Source organism: Homo sapiens, chromosome 11 (genome assembly GCF_000001405.40).
Source record: "Homo sapiens chromosome 11, GRCh38.p14 Primary Assembly".
Taxonomy (NCBI): domain Eukaryota; kingdom Metazoa; phylum Chordata; class Mammalia; order Primates; family Hominidae; genus Homo; species Homo sapiens.
In genome coordinates this window covers 15,843,457-15,866,684 of record NC_000011.10, presented here as the reverse complement: position 1 = coordinate 15,866,684, position 23,228 = coordinate 15,843,457, and the positions used below count along the sequence as shown (strand labels likewise).

The window sequence follows — 23,228 nt, the reverse complement described above, 5'->3', positions numbered from 1 at the left end:
TGAGAGAGGACTATCTTAATGCCAAACCGAGGAGTCATGCATAGTGATATATTAAGTTCTGGGGAAGGACTTGGTGAAGCAGAAGAGAAGAAGGAAAAAACCATTTAATATCTTCAAATCACATTTCCTACTTGCCTCTGTCTTTCTGCTATGGAAGAGAAGTGACAGGTGATAAGAGAGCACTCACCCACTAACTCTGACAATGGAGGAAGAAAATGGACTCTATGGGATATTGCTTGTCTTCAGCTCCTGGCAGGGCTGGTGCAGAGTGGCCCCTTCTAAGGCAGTAACTAGCTTCACCCTTCCAAGCCATCCAAGACTCTCCTTCCTGCTATGTTTCTGAAGATCTCTGGTTCCTCTTCTCCTAGGCAAACCAGGGTAAGGGAGACTGACAGTGGGCTGGGAGCCTGTGCTGGCTGAGGAAGCCCTGAAGAACAGGAGTACAGGGGGAGTGGTATGGCCAAGAAAGCACTGGATGAGGAGTTCAGGTTCCAATCCAAACTGGGTAACAGCTCAGGGTGAGGCCCTGGCCAAGTCTTTCTGCTTCATTTTTTATTTTCTCTGAGTAAAATGAGAACAAAGATTCCTGTTTCCCTCAAAGTGATTCTGATAACTAAATAACATGAAAAATCTTTTCATGGCGAAAACCACACAAGTGAAAAACAATTAACCGTGTTTGCATGAACACATTATAGCCTGAGTATCTGATCTGCTTTTCTCTCAGTTTTTTTTTTTCAAGGCTCTGCTAAAATACAAGCTAGTACCTGCATTCCTTTCAATTAGTTGATTCTTTTGAACTGCAGTATGCATACTTCAGTAAGTACAGACAATGACCGTGGAAGCTGTCCCATTTGCAGGCAGCCACCTCCATTTACACAGAGGTTAATGGTGGCATGGCCTGGCTGGCCATGGCCTAGGAAGTCACTGGTCTATTCTAGGCTCAGGAGCAATTCTGCTTTGCACTCAAGGGGCTGGGACTTGGTGAATGCAAGACTTGTTTTCTTGGAGTGTTTCCAGATTGGTGATCTCTGAATCTTGTAGAATCTAGGAGAAAAATCTATTTGCCCCGTAAGAGGTGGCACCCATGGGGACAGAGCAGAAGTTGAAGGCCAGAGGCACCATAAAGGATGTCCTGAGGCTGGAATGTCTTTGGCTCTGCTGGCTCCAAGAACAACACCTGCACAGCTGTATGGAGGAGAGTGAGGTGAGGGTGGCTCAGAGGCTGATTCACGCGATTGTTACGGGTGTGCATTGTGCAACTCCAGGGCGCGCCATGCATATCCTGTCTTTGTTGATTTGTATATGTATTGTACTTTTCTGGCAGATGGCAGGTAGTAAATCATCTTGATGAAGGGGTGCCTTTTTCTAATCTGTACAAACTGTCTCAGGGACTGGTGGTGCTGATCAGATGTTGAGCTCCTTCACCCACCCACCGCTGTAGAATCCACTCCATACTCCAGAACAACCATGCCTGAGGCATGGTTGTTCTTCCCCTTAAGGCAATGCCTGACTTTTGAGGTACGAGGCTGAGTGGCCTAGGCCTAGACTCTACTTGGCCATACAGCCAACCTCTGCCTGTGGGGAGAGTAGACTCAGAGTCCATACAGCCTGAGTTAAATTCCCAGCTACAAGATTTTTGAAAACCCCTTTCTCCCAAAACAGCCTAGGGAGTAAATGCTAGCTGATAGCAGCAGCTCACCTACGAACTTCCCCAGGAAAAGGGATATTTCACTCTGGGCCTTCTAGAAATGTGGAGTGAAACATTCATTCCTCTGCCTGGAGCCAGGACTTCCTCTCTGGAACTGTGTGGAAAGATCCCTGACCCGGGAAACTGACAACTGGTTTCTAATCCCCACTCTGCTCCTAATTGTGGACAACTCACTTCATTCTCTAGGACTCAGTTTTTATATACATGCATTGATGGCAGGGTAAAGTGTATAATCTCAAATCACCCCTTTCTGTATTAAATTATATCCCAGTTGCCTGGTACAGTTTTCACCTCTCTAGGTCTCGATTTCTTTTGTGCTATGTGGTAAAAGTCCCCTGGCCTGGCCTGGCTCTTCCCCCTTTGAGTTCTCTCTACCACTGGCATTGCTCCTGCTAGCCTCTGACTTCATGTAAATGCCTCAGTGGGGGTTGAGGCTTGGCTTGTTTTCAGCATGGCAGTCTCTCCTCAGGTGTGTCTTCTGGTAACTTTAATTCGTGCTGTAAATTTTTACATTTCTTGGCATTGAAGCCTTACCAGCACTTTAAGTAAAATCTTGAGATTATTTCCCCCCTACACACACTTTTTTTTTTCCTTTTAGAATGCGAGATCTTCAGCACACCAGCAATATTTAAGAGCCAAAATTTTGCAGTTACAAAGAAGTGTATGCATTAATGTGCTTGATGGGGCAATGGGAGGAAGCTGTGGGAAGGTTTAAAAGGGCATCTGTTCTCTCTCTTAGCAAAGACCAAACAGAGATATGCACACACTTCAGCCCAGGAATCAAGATTAGACACCTCACTGAGAGGGAGGAACGCGGACTTGTAAAGTCCATCTGCATGGATGCAATCAAGTGTTTCTGAAAGCCAGCTCCCTGCAAGGCACTATGCTCAGGGCTGTGAATCCAGAGATGAGCAAGGCTCAGAGCCCCTGCCTTCATAGAACTTAGAGTGGAAGTCGTGAGAAAGAAGTGAATAAATTATCATGGTGCTTATGACTGTGGGGTAGCAAAGATCTTTTTAAACAAGGCACAAAATTTAAAACCTGTAGTAGAAAAGACTGAGACACTTGAAGACTTTAAGAATTTAAAGTTTGATATAACAAAAAAAACCATAAACAAAGTTAATGATAATCAAGATTGGTAGAACATATTTGTGACATATATAACACACAAAGAATATTCAGCTATGTTACATAGAATGCCTACACATCAAAAAATAGAAAAATAGGCAAAGTCCAAATATGGCAGCTTGCTTCATCAGACTGAAGAGAAGAGAGAAAGAGTGCTAAAAAGACAGAAGGCTTGGCCTCTTGTAACCTGACCTTGAAAGTGACAGGACTATTATCTTTGCCATACTCTATTCATTAGAAGCGAGTCACTAGGTCCAGCCTATTCTCAAGGGAAGGGAATTACACAAGGGCATAAAAACCAAGTGGTAAAGGTCATTTGTGGTCTATTTTAGCAGTCTGCCTGTCACAGAATACAAATGGTCAATCCATTGAAAAAGTAATGATGTACAACCTTAGAAGAAGATGTTTAGCTTCACGAATAGTGAGGAAGATTCAGATTAAAATGATAAAGAGACATTATGCTTTATCCACCAGATTGAGAAAAGTTAAATCATCTAATTTTGGCAAGCATTTTAAGAAGCAAGTACTGTCAAACATTATTTGGCATAACAGAGCAAATTGGTACTGAGCTTATACTCAGTAAAGATGCACATAACTTTTTGTCCAGCAAAGGAAGTTCTAGTAATCTACTACAGAAAAAATACAGGTGCCCAAATAGGCATGTTCAAGAATGCTCATTGAAATAGTGTCTGTGATAGTGAAAACCTGAAAACCACAGCCCTGCCTATAGGATGGTTAACAAAAGTATGAGATATTTAACCTATGGAATTCAAGCCAGAGCTATTAATAAAATAAACAATGTAGGTGAAAAGATATTTAAAATGTATTTTATTTTATTTTTTTGAGATGGAGTTTCACTCTTGTTGCCCAGGCTGGAGTGCAGCGGTGTGATCTCGGCTCACTGCAACCTCCACCTGCCGGTTTCAAATGATTCTCCTGCCTCACCTCCCAAGTAGCTGGGATTACAGGTGCTCGCCACCATGCCTGGCTAATTTTTGTATTTTTAGTAGAGACGGGGTTTCACCATGTTGACCAGGCTGATCTCGAACTCCTGACCTCGTGATCCACCTGCCTCAGCCTCCCAAAGTGCTGGGATTACAGGTGTTAGCCACCGCGGCCGGTCAAACGTATTTTAAATGAAAAAAAAAAATTGCAGAATAATTCATTTAATGCTATGTAAAAAAACAAAACAAAAGCAAGCAACTAAGCAAAATGTTTATTTTTCTGTATGCGCATATATACGTGTAGATACTTATTGAAAGCAGAGAAGGACAGAGGATAAAATGGTGGTATTGGTTAACTCTGTGGAGAGTTAGAGTGGAGAAAGGATAGCTAAAGGGTATTTTCTCTTTATTGGTATTATCTTAATTTGTAAGAATGTGTGCATGTGTTATCTGTTTAATTTTACAAATAACTGAAAAGAATGGGTATTACAAAATCATAAAATTACCATCAATGGAGTAAGTACTTTCAGTCATTTTGAGAATCTTATCAGTTATCTTGAGAATCTAAAGTTTCTCTTTCTAGGAAAAGAGAGAATACTGTAGCCATAACTCTCAACCCAAGACTTGAACATTGTTTAGGAACAGAAACAAGATTAGTTTCAGAGACTTGAATCTAAAGGGGGCCGGTGAAGGTCTGATAGGCAGACAGCATTGGAGGGAACTCTGAACTTTTGATCTTACTCCCACTCCTCTTACACTACCTCCTCAAGGCAAAACAGAAAACAGTTTGAAAATTTGCCGTGTATTCTACAGGTCTGTGGGTATCTTAGCTTGGGGCCAGTTGGAGCCTCAGTGAACAATAATGAGAATAGGTAAGTATCTAGGCCCCTTTCTGGTTCATAACATCTCTAAGGCTCTCATTTCTGATGAATTCTGGTTAAAACATTGTAATATTTCCATACCAGTTAAGTAAATTAAACAGTCCCCGTGATGTGCGCCAGATCCCTCCTCATCACCTGCCACACCTGATACCTTTGGTGCATCAGGGTCCCAAGACATCGCTTGATAGGCCAGCACCAGTTCTGATTGGTCAGTGCCAGGCCATTGCAGTTATTAAATACATACATATATACATACATTTATATAAACATGCTTTAGGTAATTCAGGATGGTTGGTGCATGGCATGGGGTCATAAGGATAACAACCTATCTGGGTACTAAGGGAAGTTAAGTTACAGGATCAGTGGACATAACAATGTCTTTTCCATCTCTCCTTTAGATGTAGGTCATGACAGTGATGGGAAGAATAGAATTGGAAAGCAATTGGAGAAGTTATTTTAATATTGGGGCCTATGACATTTAAAAAATATGTCCTCATGAGTTGGACTTGGCTCAGACACGTTTGATGATAGATTTCAAACTATTAATAGTGCATTCTAAGATTGCATGGGCCAATATAGATAGAATGGCAGTGTGACATAGGGGCGCTGTGGTAGAGGGATGTGTGGGCATGGAGTGCAATGGGACCCAGAAAAAAGGATGCATTAGGGAAGGTTCCTGGAGGAGGTGATACTGAGCCTACCTGACCTTTGGAATACAAATGAGAATTAACCACTTTGCAGAGAAGGAAGGGTATTTCAGGCAATGAGAAAAGTGACCAGGAAAAAACATCTTGAAAGAGAGGTTTGGGCCAGGTGTGGTGGCTCACACCTGTAATCCCAGCACTTTGGGAGGCTGAGGTGGGCAGAGAACAAGGTCAGGAGTTTGAGACCAGCCTGGGTAACATAGTGAAAACACGTCTCTACTAAAAATACAAAAAAATTAGCCGGGCGTGGTGGCGGGCGCCTATAATCCCAGCTACTCAAGGGGCTGAGGCAGGAGATAGCTTGAACCCAGGCGGCGGAGGTTACAGTGAGCCGAGATGGCGCCACTGCACTCTAGCCTGAGCTACAGTGCAAGACTCCGTCTCAAAAAAAAAAAAAAAGAAAGAAAGAAAAAGAAAAAATAGAAAGAAGGAAGGAAGAGAAAGTAAGAAAGAAAGAAGGATAGAAAGAAAGAAAGAAAGAAAAAGAAAGGAGGAAAGAAGAAAGAAAGAAAGAAAAGAAAGAAAGAGAAAAAGAAAGAAAGAAAGAGAAAGAAAGAAAGAAAAGAAAGAAAAGGAAAGGAAGGAAGGAAGGGAGGAAAGGAAGGAAGGAAGAAAGGTTTGACATGGCTGGGAAAGTGGTGTGCTTCATGGGCTGGGAGGAAGATGGGAATAGAGGTCAAGAGAGGTGTAGGTGGGAGATGCTGGTGACATAATAGTGTGAGGAGTGAAATGCACCTTGTTGGACCTAAGCAAAAATGCCATGTTTCCCATGTTTTCTATGTCACCCAAAAACATCTCTTTATTCTTAATTTTTCCTTTAAAAAAATCAAGCTCTGTATCTTGCTCTCCCTTGTCCCTCTTCCTAGGGAACAGATTGAATTTTGCACAAAAGCACTAGAAATCTTAGGCAGCAGCTGCCTTTGAGGCTTCTCTGGCAAAGATGGGTTCTGAATTCAAAATGATGAACTTGAGATCATCGGCCCTTCATCTTTGACTCCAATAACAGGACAGAATTCACCTGAGTCAGGTGAATAACTGCAGACTATGGACATCTTGGTATGGAAGGGCTTTGTCTTCAAGGAGTGAAAGGGACACACTCCACTACAGGCACAGAATCACAGTCCTGGAGGCCACCCCATCAGACAGCCCTCAGACACCACCTCTTCCACTCCGTACTCTCCTGAGGGGACAGGACTCATCCAGGCTCTCATCAAGTCTGCAACTTGTGATTTGTCTCTTCCAAGCAGAGTTTGGTGGTGAGAATTCTGACTGATTTTGTGTCTATTAGCTACTTCAACAGTTATTGGCAAGGATATCATGGATACATTGTTTAAATTGTCTAAACCTTGGATTCCTCTTCTGCAAAATGAGGAAAATGATAACTTCAGAAAGCAGAGAGCCCCTTTTTGGGTGTCTTGGCATCATGTGTAGCAGAAACAAACTCCTTTAAAAAAATCTACCAGCAATCTTTCCCATTGCTCCCACGAGTAGTCATTTTTGCAGGAAGTCTGCGCTTTGGTCTTGGATAAGCCTTTTGATGGACTTTTGGGTTATACAAAAGTGATGCCCAGCTCCTGTTTCTCAAATAGTGAGGTTGAGATGATGAGAAGATAAACTGCTTTGCCTGGGAAATGCCAACTGAGAAGACAATTTGCTGGACTGCTGCCAGCGTGGGAATTGGCTGGCATGGCGGAAAACATTGGTGTTCTTTGTTTGTTTCTCCTTGCTGGTTCAGGAGGACAGTTGAGGTGCCTGGGTGGTGAGGCATGCCAGAGGGTGAATTGGACACTGATGGGAGGACAGATGAGGGCACTGGAGGTGGGGAGTTTTTCCCCTTTTTCTTTGAGCTCCCAAAAAGTTTTGAAAGGTATATTTCAAAATAGAAGCACATGGCCAGAGGCCCTTCATGGTAGGGGGCCCCCTGTAATATGGCAACAGGCAAGGATACGGGAGTCTAAGGAAAGAGGGACCAGAGGGTTTCCTCATGGGGGCTTATTAGGAGCCATAATACCTAGTATTCAGTTGAAGTTTCTTTCTTTTTCCTTTATCCATGTTTTGTTTTCTGATTATTCTCAATTCCTCACCAAGATTCTGCTAAACATTTAGTTCTGCCTGTTCTTACTAAGTGTTGAAGAATTAAGTCAGAACTAAAGTCTAGACTTGGGGGCAAAGGGCTCTGGAGAGAATGCATCTGTATAGTGTGAGGCTGGAGTTAAGAAACAGCTGGACTGAACCCAGGAGTGGACAGTGCCCTGAGCAAGGGGCTGGCTGAGCAGGGATCATGCGGGACACATTGGTAAAAACATTTCTCTTGGCCTTTGGGGAATACTAGGGCATGGGAACCTGACGGAAGGACAGACTTCATGGAGTCGCCCAGGAATGGGGCTTGAACTCTTGAGATGGAAGTTGTTGGTGCATTGCAGAGCTAACTGGTTTCTGCTTTTCCCATCCAGATTCTGAGAAATAGACCTAGGAGTTGAGATGCAATATTGGGGGTCCTATCAGCAAAGAAGGAGGGTGAACACAACTAGCACCAGAATGAGAGTCAAAACCTGCCTTTCTAGTCTAGATGGGGCCTGATTGAAGGAGGGCTTGGGTCTGCAGGACAGATCCTCATGGAGCCACTTGAATGGAGGATCACAGAGCTCCTCAGCCTGACAATTGCAGAGACTCAACAGCACCGAGGGAAGCCACCCATCACCTCCATCTATTGTAAGGGGATGGACCAATGAATTTCACATTCTTGCCATGGCACCCACCAATAAGCCATCCCTCCCATGGGAAGGAGCCTGGGAGAGAGTGAAATAAAGGCAAAAGGGTCTTCCTACATGTGTTAAGAGGAAGCATGGTGTTGGAAGGAGGGAGAACCAAGATACCTACCTTTACAATGATAAATGATGAGAGGCAGATGTGCGGTGGTTAAAAGCATAAACCAGCCTGAAGTTGATTCCTGACTCTGCTACTTACCAGTTGTATGTATGACCTTGAGCATCTTAATATTTCTGGTACCTGGTGTCCCCATCTGTGAATGGGGGGAATAACAATATTAACTTTGTTTTTTATTTGACTGAATCTGCATTGTTGTAAGGACTAAATAAGTTAATGCATGTAAAGCTACCGGATCCATGTTGGCTCACTGCGTTAACTCTTACGAGTGCTAAGGTGCTCAACACAGTTCCTGGCTGACAGTTGGGAAATACTGGCAGAACTCACTGTTTTATCTTTGGAGGGAAAATTATCACTAGATATCCTGAAAGTGAATGGGAGTTGTCAGTGGGAGGAGAGTTGGTTCTGGGCATGGGCTACTTTTCAGAGATGATATAATTGATTATTCCAATAGTAGCATTTAGAGGGAAATTCTTTCCCTAAATGGGGCCAGTGATTTACTCTCCGGTTGTGAGAATATAATGTTGCTAATGTAGAGTGTGTGACCCTAGCTCTTCTAAACTTTCAGTGTCGTTTTAGCAATCCTCGGCCTCTCCTGAATGTCTGGAGACAGGGCCTGTCTCTCTTGCCCCCACTCCGCCCCCCCACCCCCCACAGCCTCCTTATGAAATGGCAGCCCCTGGTGGAAATTCTGAGCTCTCAGAGCCTTTGCCAATGGGAGGCTGGGCTCAGGTTGCCCGCTTACTTAGCACAGGACAAGGCAAGAGGCCAAGGCGATTTCCTCTCTTTTACTGCATCATAAAAAAGCATCTCATTCTTCAGGCAACACCTCTTGAGTGCTCATGTCCAGGCCATGATTAGCAGATAATCTCCTAAAGGTCTGTGGTCCATGCACGCCTGCATCCCAGCTGCCAAGACCCACCTGATGGAGGAAAGAAAAGGTCTGTGTTGAAGACCCCTTCCCACGGCCTTGAGGGCCCACCTCCTTGAAGTTGCTCCTTTCTGTCTGGGGGGTAATCCCAGCCCTCTCCTCCTTGCTGACTTGGTTCCCTCCCCGGCTGCTATATACCTTCTCAAAGAGAACCCCGCCACCAACCACCCAGATTCTACGAAGAGAGACCCTCATTCTCTGACTAAATCATAGAAATATTGAGCTGGGAACTTTGAAAGCTGTCCAGTAGTAAAACTCTTTCATTTTGCTGAGAAGGAAAATGAGGCTCAGAGACATCAAGTGACTTCCTGAGGGTCACACCACAAAGAGACGGCAGAAGACGGATGGAAATCCAGATCTCCTGACACCCATTGGATGGAGCTATGGTCTACACTCACCTGGCCATTATTTGGGACTATTTCTTGGCTGGGTGTTTGTATCAGAGCCACCTAGTAAATGCTTGCTGAGATGGGGCCTGAGATCCCAGGGGACTGGCCCTGGATCTACCCTGGGAAATCATCAGAGCTGCCATGTTGCCTGTTCAGCTCAGCAGGGACATCTAGGAGGGGACAGGAAGATTCATGACTGAGGCAACCCACAGATCTCCTAGCTCTGAATACATTGAAATTCTGAGGCTCTCTGGCAGGGTCCAAGCAGCCAAATTGCAATCACTCTGAGACCCTATGGGTGGTCAGCATGGCCACTCCTCTTCCCCAGCCTGGTGAGAGCATAGTAGAGAGAGCAGCATGGGCTTGAGTCTGAGACAGACCTGAGTTCTAGTCCTGGCACTGCCACTTTCTAGCTGTGGGACATTTGACAATATAAGTCATCTCTCTGGACCACATTTTAAAAATAAATAAAAATGACAGGCATTACATGCTGCTGTAATGGACCAAGAGAGATTCTCCATAGAGTACTCACTACATTATTATTATTATCATCTCTCCTACTGTACAAAACTAGGCAAATCACAACCTATGTGAGTCTCAAATTTGTCCTCTAAAATAGTGAAATTATTCCTACACTAGGGGCAACCAAAAGTTCATGGAAAAGCACCTAGTGGGTTCTCCAGTTAGCGTTAGTTTTCTTCACTTCATATTGCAAGTCCAAGAGGGAGTTTTGGTAGCAGAAAGAAATGCAAGTTAACCGAAGGTTAAGGCTCAAGTTCTATCACTTCCAACATGTGCACTAACACATCTATATCTACATCAATATCTTGACATATATGTTCCCAGTCATTTTTTTTCCTTTTTTTAAAACAAAGACTGACCATTCTACTATATTTGAAAAAAGGTTTATGCTCATGAAAAATAATTAATAGAAAAAAGTTGAAACATGAATGTAGTAAAATTAACCCAAATACTACTACTCAGAAATAGCTCTCCTTAAGAATAAATAAACATCATCACTATTGTTTTTGTATTCATACACATACGTATCTAAAAACACTTTAATAAAAATGAGATCATAACTGTAAATGCTATCTTAAAATATGAAGTATTAACTTTAAATTTACTGGAATACAACAGAAAAAAATATACCAAAGTAAAACTATAGAAATTGTTGAATAAATTTTTCTTTACTGTAGCATAGTATTTTTTGAAAAATCTTCTCAGGTTAATTAAATGATTATCTAAAACATCAAAAGGTGGCAGTCATCATTTCTTCTGAAACTACATGGTTCAATTTTAGTATCAGTTGTGTTTGGGCTGTGAAAGATAAGGGCATTAGTGCTCAGATTTCTTCCAGCTCCCTTCCCAACAAAACTTAAGTCTTGTTAGTTACCTTGTTATTTTTACACTGTTCAGATGTATGGCTCCCAGGCTCTGCTCCATGACTAGAATAGTTTCCATATTTCATGCAAGTGTTTAATCCCAGCTCCCCCGATTAACTTCTATGGGGCAGAAGGTAACAAAACAAAACAAAACAAAAAACAAACAAAAAAGTAAAATATAGGGTGCCATTCTTTAGAACCAAAGCCAAAAGTAAAGCAAAGTAAGGTAGACCACGAATGCTGGAGAAAGGTGGGGCACACTCTGCCATAGTAAATAAGGCAGATGGAGCAGGCTTCATAGAGAGGTATTGTTTAATTCAGGAAATAGATTTGTTACCTACCACTAGTGCTTTTTCATGATATTTCAATTCCTAAGTTTATTTCTTTTCTTTATTTCTTAACTGGCTGAATATTATTGTCACATAGTTTTGTTCAAGAAGGGCTCATGGGTGCTGTATTCCTGGTTTTTCATGTCTGAGAAAGTTCATTGCTTTTTTATTTAATACCATTCTTGTATGGCCATAATATCCTGGGTGCACTTTCTTTCCCTTAGACATTGTGAACACTGTCTTTTGGCATGAAATGTTGCTGTGGGAGAGGCTAGGGCAAGCCTGATTTGAACCCCTTATAATGATGTGCTTTTCCTGACTGTATGAATGTTCAAAGTGCCATTATTTAACTAACTTGTATGTATCTATCTTGAACTGTCTGCATTAAATTTTCCTGGAACATGGTATGTCTTTCAACTTGCATATTCAATTTTTTTTCTTTATTTAGATGATTGTTAAAATTTTACTTTTGGATTTGCATACTTCTTTATTAGGTGTTTTAAAAAATCTATTAGCTTCTTTGTACTTTCTCTAATGTTTTTGTTTTAATCTACCTTTACTGTGATTATCTCAGACTCTCATCCATGTAAATAATTTATTTTCAGTGGAATATACCTGTTCCTTGTTATCTCTAATTTTTGCATTAGTTTTGTAATGATGTGGTGTGGGTCCTCAATTTGTTTCCTTAGATCCTCAATCTCCTTTTTTCTTTTTAATCTCATTGTCTTGTCTTTCAGCCCTTATGTTCCTGAATTTATATGCTTATTAAGATATTATAAAACATAAAATAATTGTGAAGAATTTCCTTTTGTTCTTTTGCTGTGTTTTCTCCTATGTTAGTTCTTTGTTTCCCTCTTCCTTCCTTCCTCCCTACTTCTCTTCTTCCCTCTTCCTTCCCTCCCCTCCTTCCTTCCTTCCTTCTTCCCTTCCTTCCCTCCTTCCTTCTCTCCTTCCTTCCCTCCTTCCTTCCTTCCCTTCCTTCCCTCCTTCCTTCTCTCCTTCCTTCCCTCCTTCCTTCCTTCCCTTCCCTCCCTCCTTCCTTCCTTCCCTCCTTCCTTCCTTCCTCTCTTCCTTCCTTCCTCTCTCTCTTCCCTTCCTTTCTCTTTTTTCTCTTTTCTCTTTCTTTCTTCTTTCATACTAAGTCTGCATAGTTTGTTTCTAAATGGGACAGATTTTTAGGAATGCTGCTTCAACTCACCAACATAACATCTGTTAGAGCTCATTATAAGGTATCTGATTCCATTTCTCTGCCATAGAAAGTATCATCTGGGGAATACAGTCAAACTTATCTTTGCTGCCTAAGACTCTGGGAAACCTTGGGACCTTCATTTCTAAATGTTTCCCCTCTTCATCCAGTATGGTGGACTAAGGCAGAGGATTTAGACAGAGACTACATGAGATGTCCTGACTGGTTGGTGGGCATAGACAGAGACCAGTAGGGAAAATGAGAAGGCTGGGAAAACGGAAGCCACAGGAGCCTGAAGAAACTGACTTGAGGAGGCAGGAATCTAACTTTTAGTATCCACATTGGAAACTTAAGAGTCAGTATCTAAAAGCTGAGAGCTTATCTTCTGAAGATAGACAAAAGCTGGTATTTAGTCCAGGCTCTGCAATGTACTGGGTTTGTAATCTTGATCCTCTGTTTTCTCATCTGTAAAAGGGGGTTAATAATATTGTCTTTCTCAATTAATTATTACGACAATTAGATGAGCTAATTAAAGCATTGCTTACCTCAGTGCTGACAGCTTTAATAGATGTTAGCATTTCCTGTCGGTATAGTTAATGATCTGCTGATAGGCATTGATATCAGAGAACATCTGATCAGAAGGTGGCAATGAATGGCAGAAATATGTACTGAAAGTGACCCAAAGTTAATTTGTGCCAGCCACAGCATTTGAGGCTGTTGGTTAGTCATTCACAGTAAGACCCCAGATTCTGGCCAGGAGGCCATGGAGCTCAATCTCTCTTCTCCACACTCTTGGTAAGAGGCAAGGGAAAAGGGGGAACTTACGACAGTCAAACAGGGTGTCTTGCCTTAGCCCAGTGCTTTTCCAAATGTGGTCCCTAGATTGGTGGCATCAGCATCACCTGGGAATTTGTTAGAAATGCATATTCTCAGGCCCCACTTGAGACCTACTGAATCAGAAACTCAGGAGTTGCGATGTGGAAATGTGTGCTTTAACAAAGCCCTCCGGGTGATTCTGATGTTCACTAAAGTTTGAGAACCATTCTGTCTTCTCCAGTTGGGCTAGTATTTAGGGAAGTGAGTGGCCAGGATAAGAAGGCAATAACCCTAAAATGCCTTTGCCAATATCTCAGAAACTTGATGTAGACTGTGAATGAGTTAGGCTTGTTAATAGTCAAGGTCCATTATATATATAATATATGGTGTATGTATATCATGTATATAAATACATCATGTATGTTTCTCGAATAAATATATTTATCAAATTTATCAAATAAGTATATCATGTAAATTTATTCCTTTAAATACAGTCAGCCCTCCATATCCATAGTTTCTGTATCTGTGGAGTCAACCAACCACGGATAAAAAATATTTTTAAAAATGGATAGTTGTGTCTGTATTGAACATCTACAGACTGCCCTTGTCATTATTCCCTAAACATTACAGTGTAACAATTATTTACATAGCATTTACATGGTATTAGGTATTATAAGTAATCCACAGATGATTTAAAATATACAGGAGGATGCGCATGGGTTATATTCAAATGTCACATCATTTTATGTAAGAAACTTGAGCATCTATAGATTTTGATATTCGTAGGGGGTCTTAGAACCAATTCCCCAGAATGCCGAGGGACAACTGTATATATTTTTGCTTCACGTCATCTTCATCTTTGTAGATGTGGAATGCTGTTTGGCTATTTTTTAGTGAACTATAATTTTGATTATAAGGAGATAAAAATATGGAAAAACACTTGACTCCCATTTTTAGTTATGGTAAAAGTCTGGAGCTCTCCATGAAACCAGAGTGTCATCTGCCATCTGGTGGCAGCATACCCCACTGACAGGTTTCAACAGCAATAATCACAAGTCAAGGATTTCAGAGAGGTAGAGATCAAGGGGGAATCTGGGGTCTGAAGAACTTAGGGAAGGCTTCTCATCATGCCAAGTCACTACGGTTCCCTCTTGGAGAAGTAAGTGGCATGGAGAAAAATGTGGACGTTAGAGTCAGATGGATCTGGGTTACACCTTAAGTAACTTCAGAAAAGGTACTTAAACTAAGCCTCAGGTTTCTCATTTTGAAATGGAGATGATAGCAATGATAATGCTTCCATCTCTAGATTATTGTGGGGGTCAAATGAGGGAATTTGTGAGAAACAGCTGGACGTGTTTTCAAAACTATTAAGAGCTGCCCAGATGTGAGTTGTTTATTATTTATGTTTGAAACTTGGTCTTTAATTCTGGAATGTAATGTCCTCTGTTGGAGGAATTCTAGACATTAGCAAGCAGGTGGAGGAGCTATTTGGTGTTTGGGTTTGTCTTCAATTTTTTTTTAAAGGACACAGCGGAGGGAGAATGTGCCCTGAGATTACCTCAACCACAAGTTCACTCCTGTGGACTGTTTAGGAGTGAAGGAGGAATGAACAACCAACTCCATCCCCCACCGAAGAAGCAGGAAGAAGACCCAGGATCCTGGCCCGTGTCATTGTGTTGACTCTTGTCCTTGTGTTTTCTCTAACTTGGGGAAGGAAGGATAGAGAGAAAGAAAACTGGATGGAAGTTTGCTGGGAGAAAGGTGGGAGTGAGGAAAAGAGAAAGGAGAAGAGGGAATGCAAGACAGAGGGTGGGAAAGAGAATTAGTACCAGAGAGGATCAGAGTGAGAGGGAAGGGGCACTTGGAAGAAACCAGGTTAAAAGAAGGGTCAAATAGAGGGAGGAAACTAGAACATATGCCCTGCTGCTGTTGCCTTAGTCAGTTCTAGGCCTTTCCAACTGGCAGCACTTTCTGTGAGTCGGCTTTTTGCGACTGAAACACTTCTTTCTTCGGGGACCTTGTGCTTTTGTACATGTGAAGTGTTTGGATCCAATATGCTTAGTGAAAGAGAAGAGTCAGACATTGCTGGAAAAAGAGACCAGATGTCTTTGAAATCATCTAAATTGTCTCTATTTTTAAAAAAGTTACTCTTTCCATTGCTGCCAGATCTGAAAGTCCAATTTGCCAGGATAATATATCCGGTGTGGATAAAGATTTCCAAACTTGAAGTGTTTGTTGCTTAGCAACCCAGAGGCATGAAGGGCTCGGCCATTCAACCTTTTGGGGAGACTAAGTTTTCCTCTGCAGTGGGCAATGGGCTGAGGATTCACTTGGGGCCACTCAGGTCTTGGGCCCCACATTGTGGGGCACCTCTGTCCCTCTCACTCCAGATTTCTTCCCAGGTACTTGAGGCTAATAAAATCTAAACAGAGAGAGAAAGGGAAGCAGGAGGAGAAGCAGAGAGAAAGGGAACAACTGAAAGAGAAAGGTCCCAGGGCCAGAAGGAATTGAAGAGAAAAAAAAAAAAGTGTGCCTATGACTTGATATTTGGCCTTCAGCATAGATCCAAATAGTTACTTCTTAAGTGGTTTTGAATAAAGCTATTTTTGATCTTTAAAAAGGCATAGAACACATGGACACAGGAAGGGGAACATCACACACCCGGGACTGTTGTGGGGTGGGGGGAGGGGGGAGGGATAGCATTAGGAGATATACCTAATGCTAAATGACCAGTTAATGGGTGCAGCACACCAACATGGCACCTGTATACATATGTAACAAACCTGCACATTGTGCACATGTACCCTGAAATTTAAAGTATAATAATAATAAAATAAAATAAAAAATAAAAATAAAAATAAAAAGGCATAAATATTTTAAAACTATGTACATTATTATTATTGCTATATTCCCTGTTATTGTTTAGGAAGCATATTTTTAGTCACTACATGGTGGTTTGAGCATTCCCCCCTTCATTGATCCAGTATCCAATCAAAAGTTTGAGGTCTCAAGTTTCAGTGAGGACTTGTCCATCCACTCATCTGTATTCTGCTGGGGATTGGGGAAACAAGGAGTGGACATTATAGTTCTTTTCCTTATATCCATTCCCCCTTCTTTCTGTAATTACTCTGATTTTTGGTTCAGTTTCCATCTTTCTGTCTCGACATAGTTCTTGCACTGGTAAAAATGTGACTCTATATCTAGGGCTTGTGGTTCAGACCAGGGAATGTGCATAATCTCTCTTCTGGTCATCATTATTGGTTCAGGGACTGGCCATGACCCAATTCTGGCTGTTGAATTACAAGAAAAGAAATTTGCTGGGGGTTTCTGGGAGAGCTTTTTCTAACTCATCTGGGGAAATATCTGGGTGTGGTCCTATTTTGTTCTCCTTGGATACCTGCTCACATTTTGGAACTATGAGACAGGGAGAGCTTTAGAGAGAAACTGAATATATGATGAGCAGGGTGAAAAGAGAGGAAACAAATAAATGAATAGACAAACAAATTCTAGGTGACATGGTTAGGCAACTGAATTGAACTACTCCTGAATTCCAGCCTTTTCTTGGATCTCCAATTATAGAACCAATAATTTTTCTTCACTGTATAAGCTAGTTTGGATTTGATTTTCTGTTACTTAGAATCAAACATTCCTTACTGATACAATGACATTTACTGAGCACCTACTGTATGCCTGGCATTCTATAAAATGCTTTCCTGTATATTATTCTCACCTAATCCTCATGGTAAACTGGCAGGGAAGGCATAACATACTCATTATTCAGTTGAAGAAAACTTCAGAAAGGACCAAAACAGAAGTGGTTTGTGGCAGAGCTGGGCTTTTAATTCAGAGCAGTCTGACTGCCGAGCTCAGTACCCATACTCGGACTCTCAGCTGACAGCAGCAGAGATCTGCTCTGAGCAGAGGCGGGAGGGAGAACTGAAGTCTGACAGCAAATCTGAGCTCTCAGCTGACTAGATTGTCAAAGGTCAAAGTGACAGTGCTATGTAAAATCTGCGGTAAGTTTAGATGAACTGGCTTGTTCAGGGTCCTCATGTGGAAGGTGTGCCCTGACACTACATGGCCCCTCTGTAGCCAGGCCACAGCTTGCTTTAAAGACCTAGCACCCTGGATGCCATGAGAAATAACAACTTAACAATAATTTCTCAGTCATAAAAACATATGCAAAGGCTTGTGAAATTTCATTTTATTTAACCCATATTTCCTGATTTAACGTCTTTCCTTCAATCTTCCCCTTCCGAGTCAGCAAACTCCTGTAGTGACAAGACCACTGGTACACAATGACACTAGTTAATGTACACTGAGTATTTAATGTTCATTGACTCTGTGCTAGGCACCCTTCTAAATGCCTTCCATCTGTAATAGCTCACATATTATGAGGAAGTGTGTTGTTACTCTCCTATTACAAATGTGGACACCAAGGCTCAGAGAGGTACAATAGCTTGCCCAAGGTCACACAGCTAGATCTTACACTCCTACTATGATGCTATATTGGCTTTCCATGTAGACAGAATGAACAAAGGCTCCTGCCAAGGTCCTTGGCAAACAGAATATAGTAAGTTTAGTGATAGATAGAGCATGCCAGACTCTAAGTGCCAGAATCACATCATTCATGGAAATGAACTGAGTGTGGCTATGAAATTATGAGATTGATTTTATTTTTTTAAAAACCACAACACCCCTTGTCATGCATATTACTGTCATACTTTCAAAAGTTATCCTCTACCTCATAACCTCATTTCTGGAACTAAAAAAATGGAAAAGACTATATTAAAATTATTGAAAAAAAAAACCATGAGAAGAGGCTAGCCCTGCTAGACATTAAATATACTATAGAGCAGTAATAATTAAAATAGCATAATTCTGTGAAAAAAATAGATGAATGGATCAGCAGAAAATAACAGAACACTCCTCCATGCTATTATGTGGTATATAATAGAAGTAATATCTCATTTGTGGAGAGATGGGCAAAAGATGGTACCCGAAAACATATTAATTTGGATTTTTTCTTCCTACCTTACACCATTAAATTCTGAATTAATTAAAAAATAAAATGTAAAAACTGAGGCCACAAAAATATCTAAAGGGAAATTTATGATCACGATTAGGGAAAGTTTTCCTAAATATTGCATCAGCAGCTGAAACCATAAAAAACATATACATTTTACTATATAAAAATGAAATATTTCTGTATGGCAAATACACTATAGAATGTGTGAAAGACAAAGGGTTCTTAGCCTTCAGACTTAAAGGACTTTAAATCCTTTTTATCAGTAAGATTAAAAAAAAAGAAACATAGCAATATAAAACAAAAGCCAAAATGTCAGGCCACCTTCATAAACTGTTAATGAAAGTATAAATTTGCACATGATGAAATGTGCAAATACATTTCAAATACATTTCACATTTGCCACAATGTGGCAAAACACATCAATGATCTTAAACATTTGACCCAGCAATTTCCCTTCCAAAAATTTATCTTAAGAGAATGATTAGATAAATAGGCAAAGGCATTTGTGCAAAGGATGATCATCACAACGTTATTCATGACAATTTTAAAAATTGAAATGAAGCTAAATGTTTGAAGAGAGAATAGGTTAAATAAATGATGGTATCTATCCATTCAAAGAACATGTAACAGGATTAATAAGGATGATATAGACATAGATTTGCTGACATCAAAAATACATTCTTGACTGTTGTTAAGTGAGAAAGAAGGTTACCAATATGTATAAAAATATTATCATATTTGGTACAGATATAACCCTCTTCTTCTATGTATCAAAATGCCTGACAAGCTATTCATCTAAAAAATAATCATACATGTATACATATTATGTACATATAATTTTTTAAAAATAAATATACATTTATATATCCAAATATAGAAACTTAAATGCATCAACAATTTATTTTGTATGTATCAAATATTACATTTAAAAAAACCGTGAAGACATGCCTGTAAGTCACAGGACAATTTTTTTTTTCTTTTTCTCACCTGAGTCGCTGATTGGCCCATTTGTTTGCAAGGAAGAGTATGGCCTTCAGAACCACGCTGATCTGGGTTGAAATCTCAATTATTTTGATATACCAACAGAAATATTATAGGCACTTCTCTTAACCTCCCTAAGACTCAGTGTCCTCACCTGCAAAATGACAAAGTATTCACCTTATGTAGTTATTATGTAGACTCCAGTAAAATGATAAACCACTACTCGGTGATTGGCACACAGAACAGTCCCAATAAATTGCAATAAATATTAATATTCTTCTTCTTCTTTAATATTCAGCTCAAATACCTCTCTGGATGTTGTACCAACTATCCCCAGACAGTGGGTTCTTTAATGACAGAGTTTTCTCATAGCTTTTTTTTTTTTTGAGACAATGTCTCACTCTGTTGCCCAGGCTGGAGTGCAGTGGCATGATCTCGGCTCACTGCAACCTCTGCCCTCTGAGTTCAAGCGATTCTCCTGCATCAGCCTCCTGAGTAGGTGGGATTACAGGCGCCTGCCACCACGCCCAGCTAATTTTTTTTTTTTTTTGTATTTTTAGTAGAGACAGGGTGTCACCATCTTGGCCAGGCTGGTCTTGAATTCCTGACCTCGTGATCCACTCGCCTCGGCCTCCCAAAGTGTTGGGATTACAGGCGTGAGCCACTGCGCCCAGCCTCTCATAGCTTTTTATGGATATCTGTTACTTCTCACTCTGTTTTTACCCATTAGATGTGAGTTCCCAGAAGCCAGGGATCAGGCTTACCCATCTCTGTGTCCTAAGTACCTACCTCAGTGTGTTGCACATAGTAGGCTTATGCTAAACGTTGAATGAATAAAAAAAAATAAATAACAATTATGATCCATGACAAAAATGTTTAAAAAAGTAAACATTTCCTTAAGGGAATAACTGGTGACATACTCACCATGGTGCTTTTTAAGAAAATTACCTGCACATTATTTTGCAATCTCATTTTATAAAGAAGATAGTGTGTTATAACAACAGCAGTAACAAATATTTATTGAGCACTTACTATAATTACACTTAATCCTCTCAAAAGACAGTTGATGAGGAAAGTCACTTGTCTCCAGTATCTAAAAATGGCAGAGCCAGAATTTGAACTCCGGTCTTTCTGACAGATCCAGGACCCTATGCTTTTAACCGGGAACCCTCTCCAGGATGGCATTTTAAGGACTTCATTGGGAAGCGTGATGAAAGCTCTGTAGCAGCTAAACCACTGGGCCTCAATAGCACTCTAGAGAAGCCTATGGTAGAGGCGGGTGGTTTTGAGATGGGAGGCAAGAAGAATGGAATTGAGGAGGGAGATGATAGAGAGAAACAAGAGGGGTGCTAGACAGAGTGAACAAAACCTCCATTGACCACCTGGGTCTGCCATTTGGGGATGGGGGCAACATTTTTACACTTTAGGCAAGATTGTGAAGCAGTTGCTATTTGTAGCACAATCGGGGCAATGGGGAAGACTCTGTGTTCCTATACTCTATCTGGAACATGTGGTGGAACCCAGAATGATACCTAATTTGCGAATTAATTTAAATGTAATACTTTTGGTGGTATGCAAATGAGATTTTAGTTTGTTTTGCAGTGTAAAAAGATCAACATTTATTGAAATAATATCATTGATTTATTGTATTGCATTAAATCAATTCGACTGTCCAGGAAAATCTTGGCAGTAGGAAGGTCTTTCACCTCCCTCCCCATAAGCCCTCACCTCCCCCCAGCCCTCACCCCCAGGCCTTCTCTTGGTGTTCTATTTCTGCTAATCCTTGCTAAGAAGTAACTGGTGAGCAAGAGGTTAGCTGATGGGGTCTCAAGGTGTGACCTTTCCCAGGAGTATTTGCATGTTAATAGAAGATACTGGGAACCAGGAGCAGCCTCCAGGTCTCAAATGAAAGAAGTCCTGAAGGTGGATGGGAGGGGTAGGCATGGCCCCCAGGGGCCCTGCTATGTAGGCCTCCTTGATTCTGCCTGTGTGGATGGCTGCTGGTCTGGGCTTCTCTCCAGCTGCTTTTACAAAGAAGTGGTTTGGAGAAGAACAAAGCAATTGTATTTATCCCCAGGCAGGGACTCCATTGCCAGGGCCCTGTGTGCAATGCCCAGCTCAGAGCCTGGACCCAGCAGGTCTTGCTAAATGGTTATTCGTCAAATGAATGAAGAAAGTCCTTCCTCTCTGCCCTCTACCACTCTCCCCTGACACCTTTAGCCCTTTGGTCCGTGAGCCCTTGAAGCCCAGGAGACCAGGCCCAAGATATGGGCAACTTCTTCCTAATGATAAGAACATCGCCAAAAAGAAATTTCTACCATTTACATTTTATTATTTTTCCTCCTTATAACCAGAAAACCTCAAAACTTGTGCTGAATTGCATGACCTCACTGACCATGTTTCATGTTCCTTGTTGAACTGTGGTTAAGGCAATCTCCTTCTTAGCTACAGTGAAACTGCAGAAAATAAAATCCCTTCGTAGACATGTGCTCTTGCACACGCACATTTCAGGATTCTAAGGAAGAAAAGAGGGCGGGGGCCCGGGTGGGAGCAATAAGGACAAGACTACTTTTCTGTTTGGCTGAATTCATCAAAAATGTCTAAACCCCATACCGAACATTCATCACTAATTAAATCCTAGCACCATAATTCAGAGAAAACAATTACAGCATTTAGAATTTTTAAAGGAACTATTATTGCTGCCTTGGCCCTTTTAAAAATTATGCTCCCCAAAGGACAAAATGTGATCCATTAATATGTATGTATTATTACTTTTTTTGTAACGGGAAGACTGCTGATGCCTGTGAATATGGAAGCATTTATCGGTTGCCGACAGCCGCTTAGTTGACTTGCAGTTTTAAGTGCAGTATTTTCTAGAATCTAAAAGGCTATAACATTAATTACCTTTTTGCCTTCAGCTGGTGGCCTGCTAGTTTCTGTCCTGTGTTCTCTGTCTTGGTCACACTGGAAACTGGTTAGTGAGTGAAGGGGTTGGTCAGACCTAGGAGGGGTCAAAACCATTATTGAAAAGATCACACAATAATTCATTCCGTTTAGGGCAATTTCTCCCACTTACCTTTGGTGCCCAGGAATAAGTCCTTGATTTTCATTTTTCAGTTGAGGCCCCCTTGTGTGCTGTGTCCTGTGTTAGTTGCTGAGTGCAAGGCATCCTAAATTTCAAAGTCAAATCTGTGCCTCCTCCACATTGAGTGTCCCCAGCTAAACGGGGTTCTGATTTGTTTTCCTCTTCCATTTTATCCTTCTGATCCACAGGCTTCTTTGTCTTGACAAAGTAACTGAGAGATGAGTTATCTGAATCTGGCACCAAGGACCACAACTGGCCTTTATACATTAAGATATATTGTGTGCTTGACCCGTGTGTGTGTGTGTGTGTGATATGCATGCATGTGTGTGTGCTTGAGTGTGTGCACACACATAGGTGTGTGCCTGTCTGTGTGTGTATACATATATAAAAGCACAACTCAGAAATTTCTATTCTGCTTTCTGATCAGTCTATTGTCACATGCATTTGGCATTCATTATCCATGAGCCTCCGGCGCCTCTGGTCCTGTGCCCTGGCTAACAGTGATTTGGTTTATAGAGATCATATGGCAAGGAAACAGACCTTGAAAGACAGAGCTCTGAGAAGCACATTTGATGAATTTCCTATGATTTGAGTCTGGGTTTATTCTTCCCTGTGGCGGGGCAGGCACCCCAGAGCACACACAGCCGGGCCCAGCCGAGAAGTGGAGGCTATGACAATAAGCACACTGTTTTTTTCTTCACACGTCTCGGGTTGCATTTCCTATCTGGGAAAAAAGAAAAGGGAGCCTTGTAAAGGATCCAGAATCTGGGCAGGAAACCACACAGAGTGAAGGTTGCCATTGTCATTAGCAATTAATGTAACCACCAGGGCTGGAAGGAGAGAGCT

At 41.3% G+C, this 23,228-nt stretch overlaps 2 long non-coding RNA genes across 2 annotated transcripts, besides 1 other annotated feature; both read right to left on the bottom strand.

Annotated features, from left to right (window-relative positions):
* Positions 411 to 574: a silencer, noted in NCBI's record as "fragment chr11:15887657-15887820 (GRCh37/hg19 assembly coordinates)". NCBI's record gives its function as "represses an EF-1alpha promoter that drives an FKBP-Casp9 reporter gene in an ReSE screen in K562 erythroleukemia cells {active_cell/tissue: K562}" and the evidence as "EXISTENCE:reporter gene assay evidence [ECO:0000049][PMID:32094911]".
* LOC124902800 (uncharacterized) lies at positions 6,138 to 9,173 on the bottom strand. Its single transcript, XR_007062963.1, has 2 exons — positions 8,997 to 9,173; positions 6,138 to 8,387 (listed from the first exon to the last, which is right to left on the bottom strand). It is a non-coding gene; the product is annotated as an uncharacterized LOC124902800 (long non-coding RNA).
* Positions 9,174 to 10,973: 1,800 nt separating this feature from the next.
* LOC107984370 (uncharacterized) lies at positions 10,974 to 22,940 on the bottom strand. Its single transcript, XR_001748058.2, has 4 exons — positions 22,374 to 22,940; positions 22,202 to 22,298; positions 19,304 to 19,451; positions 10,974 to 11,076 (listed from the first exon to the last, which is right to left on the bottom strand). It is a non-coding gene; the product is annotated as an uncharacterized LOC107984370 (long non-coding RNA).
* Between the last annotated feature and the right edge of the window lie 288 nt (positions 22,941 to 23,228).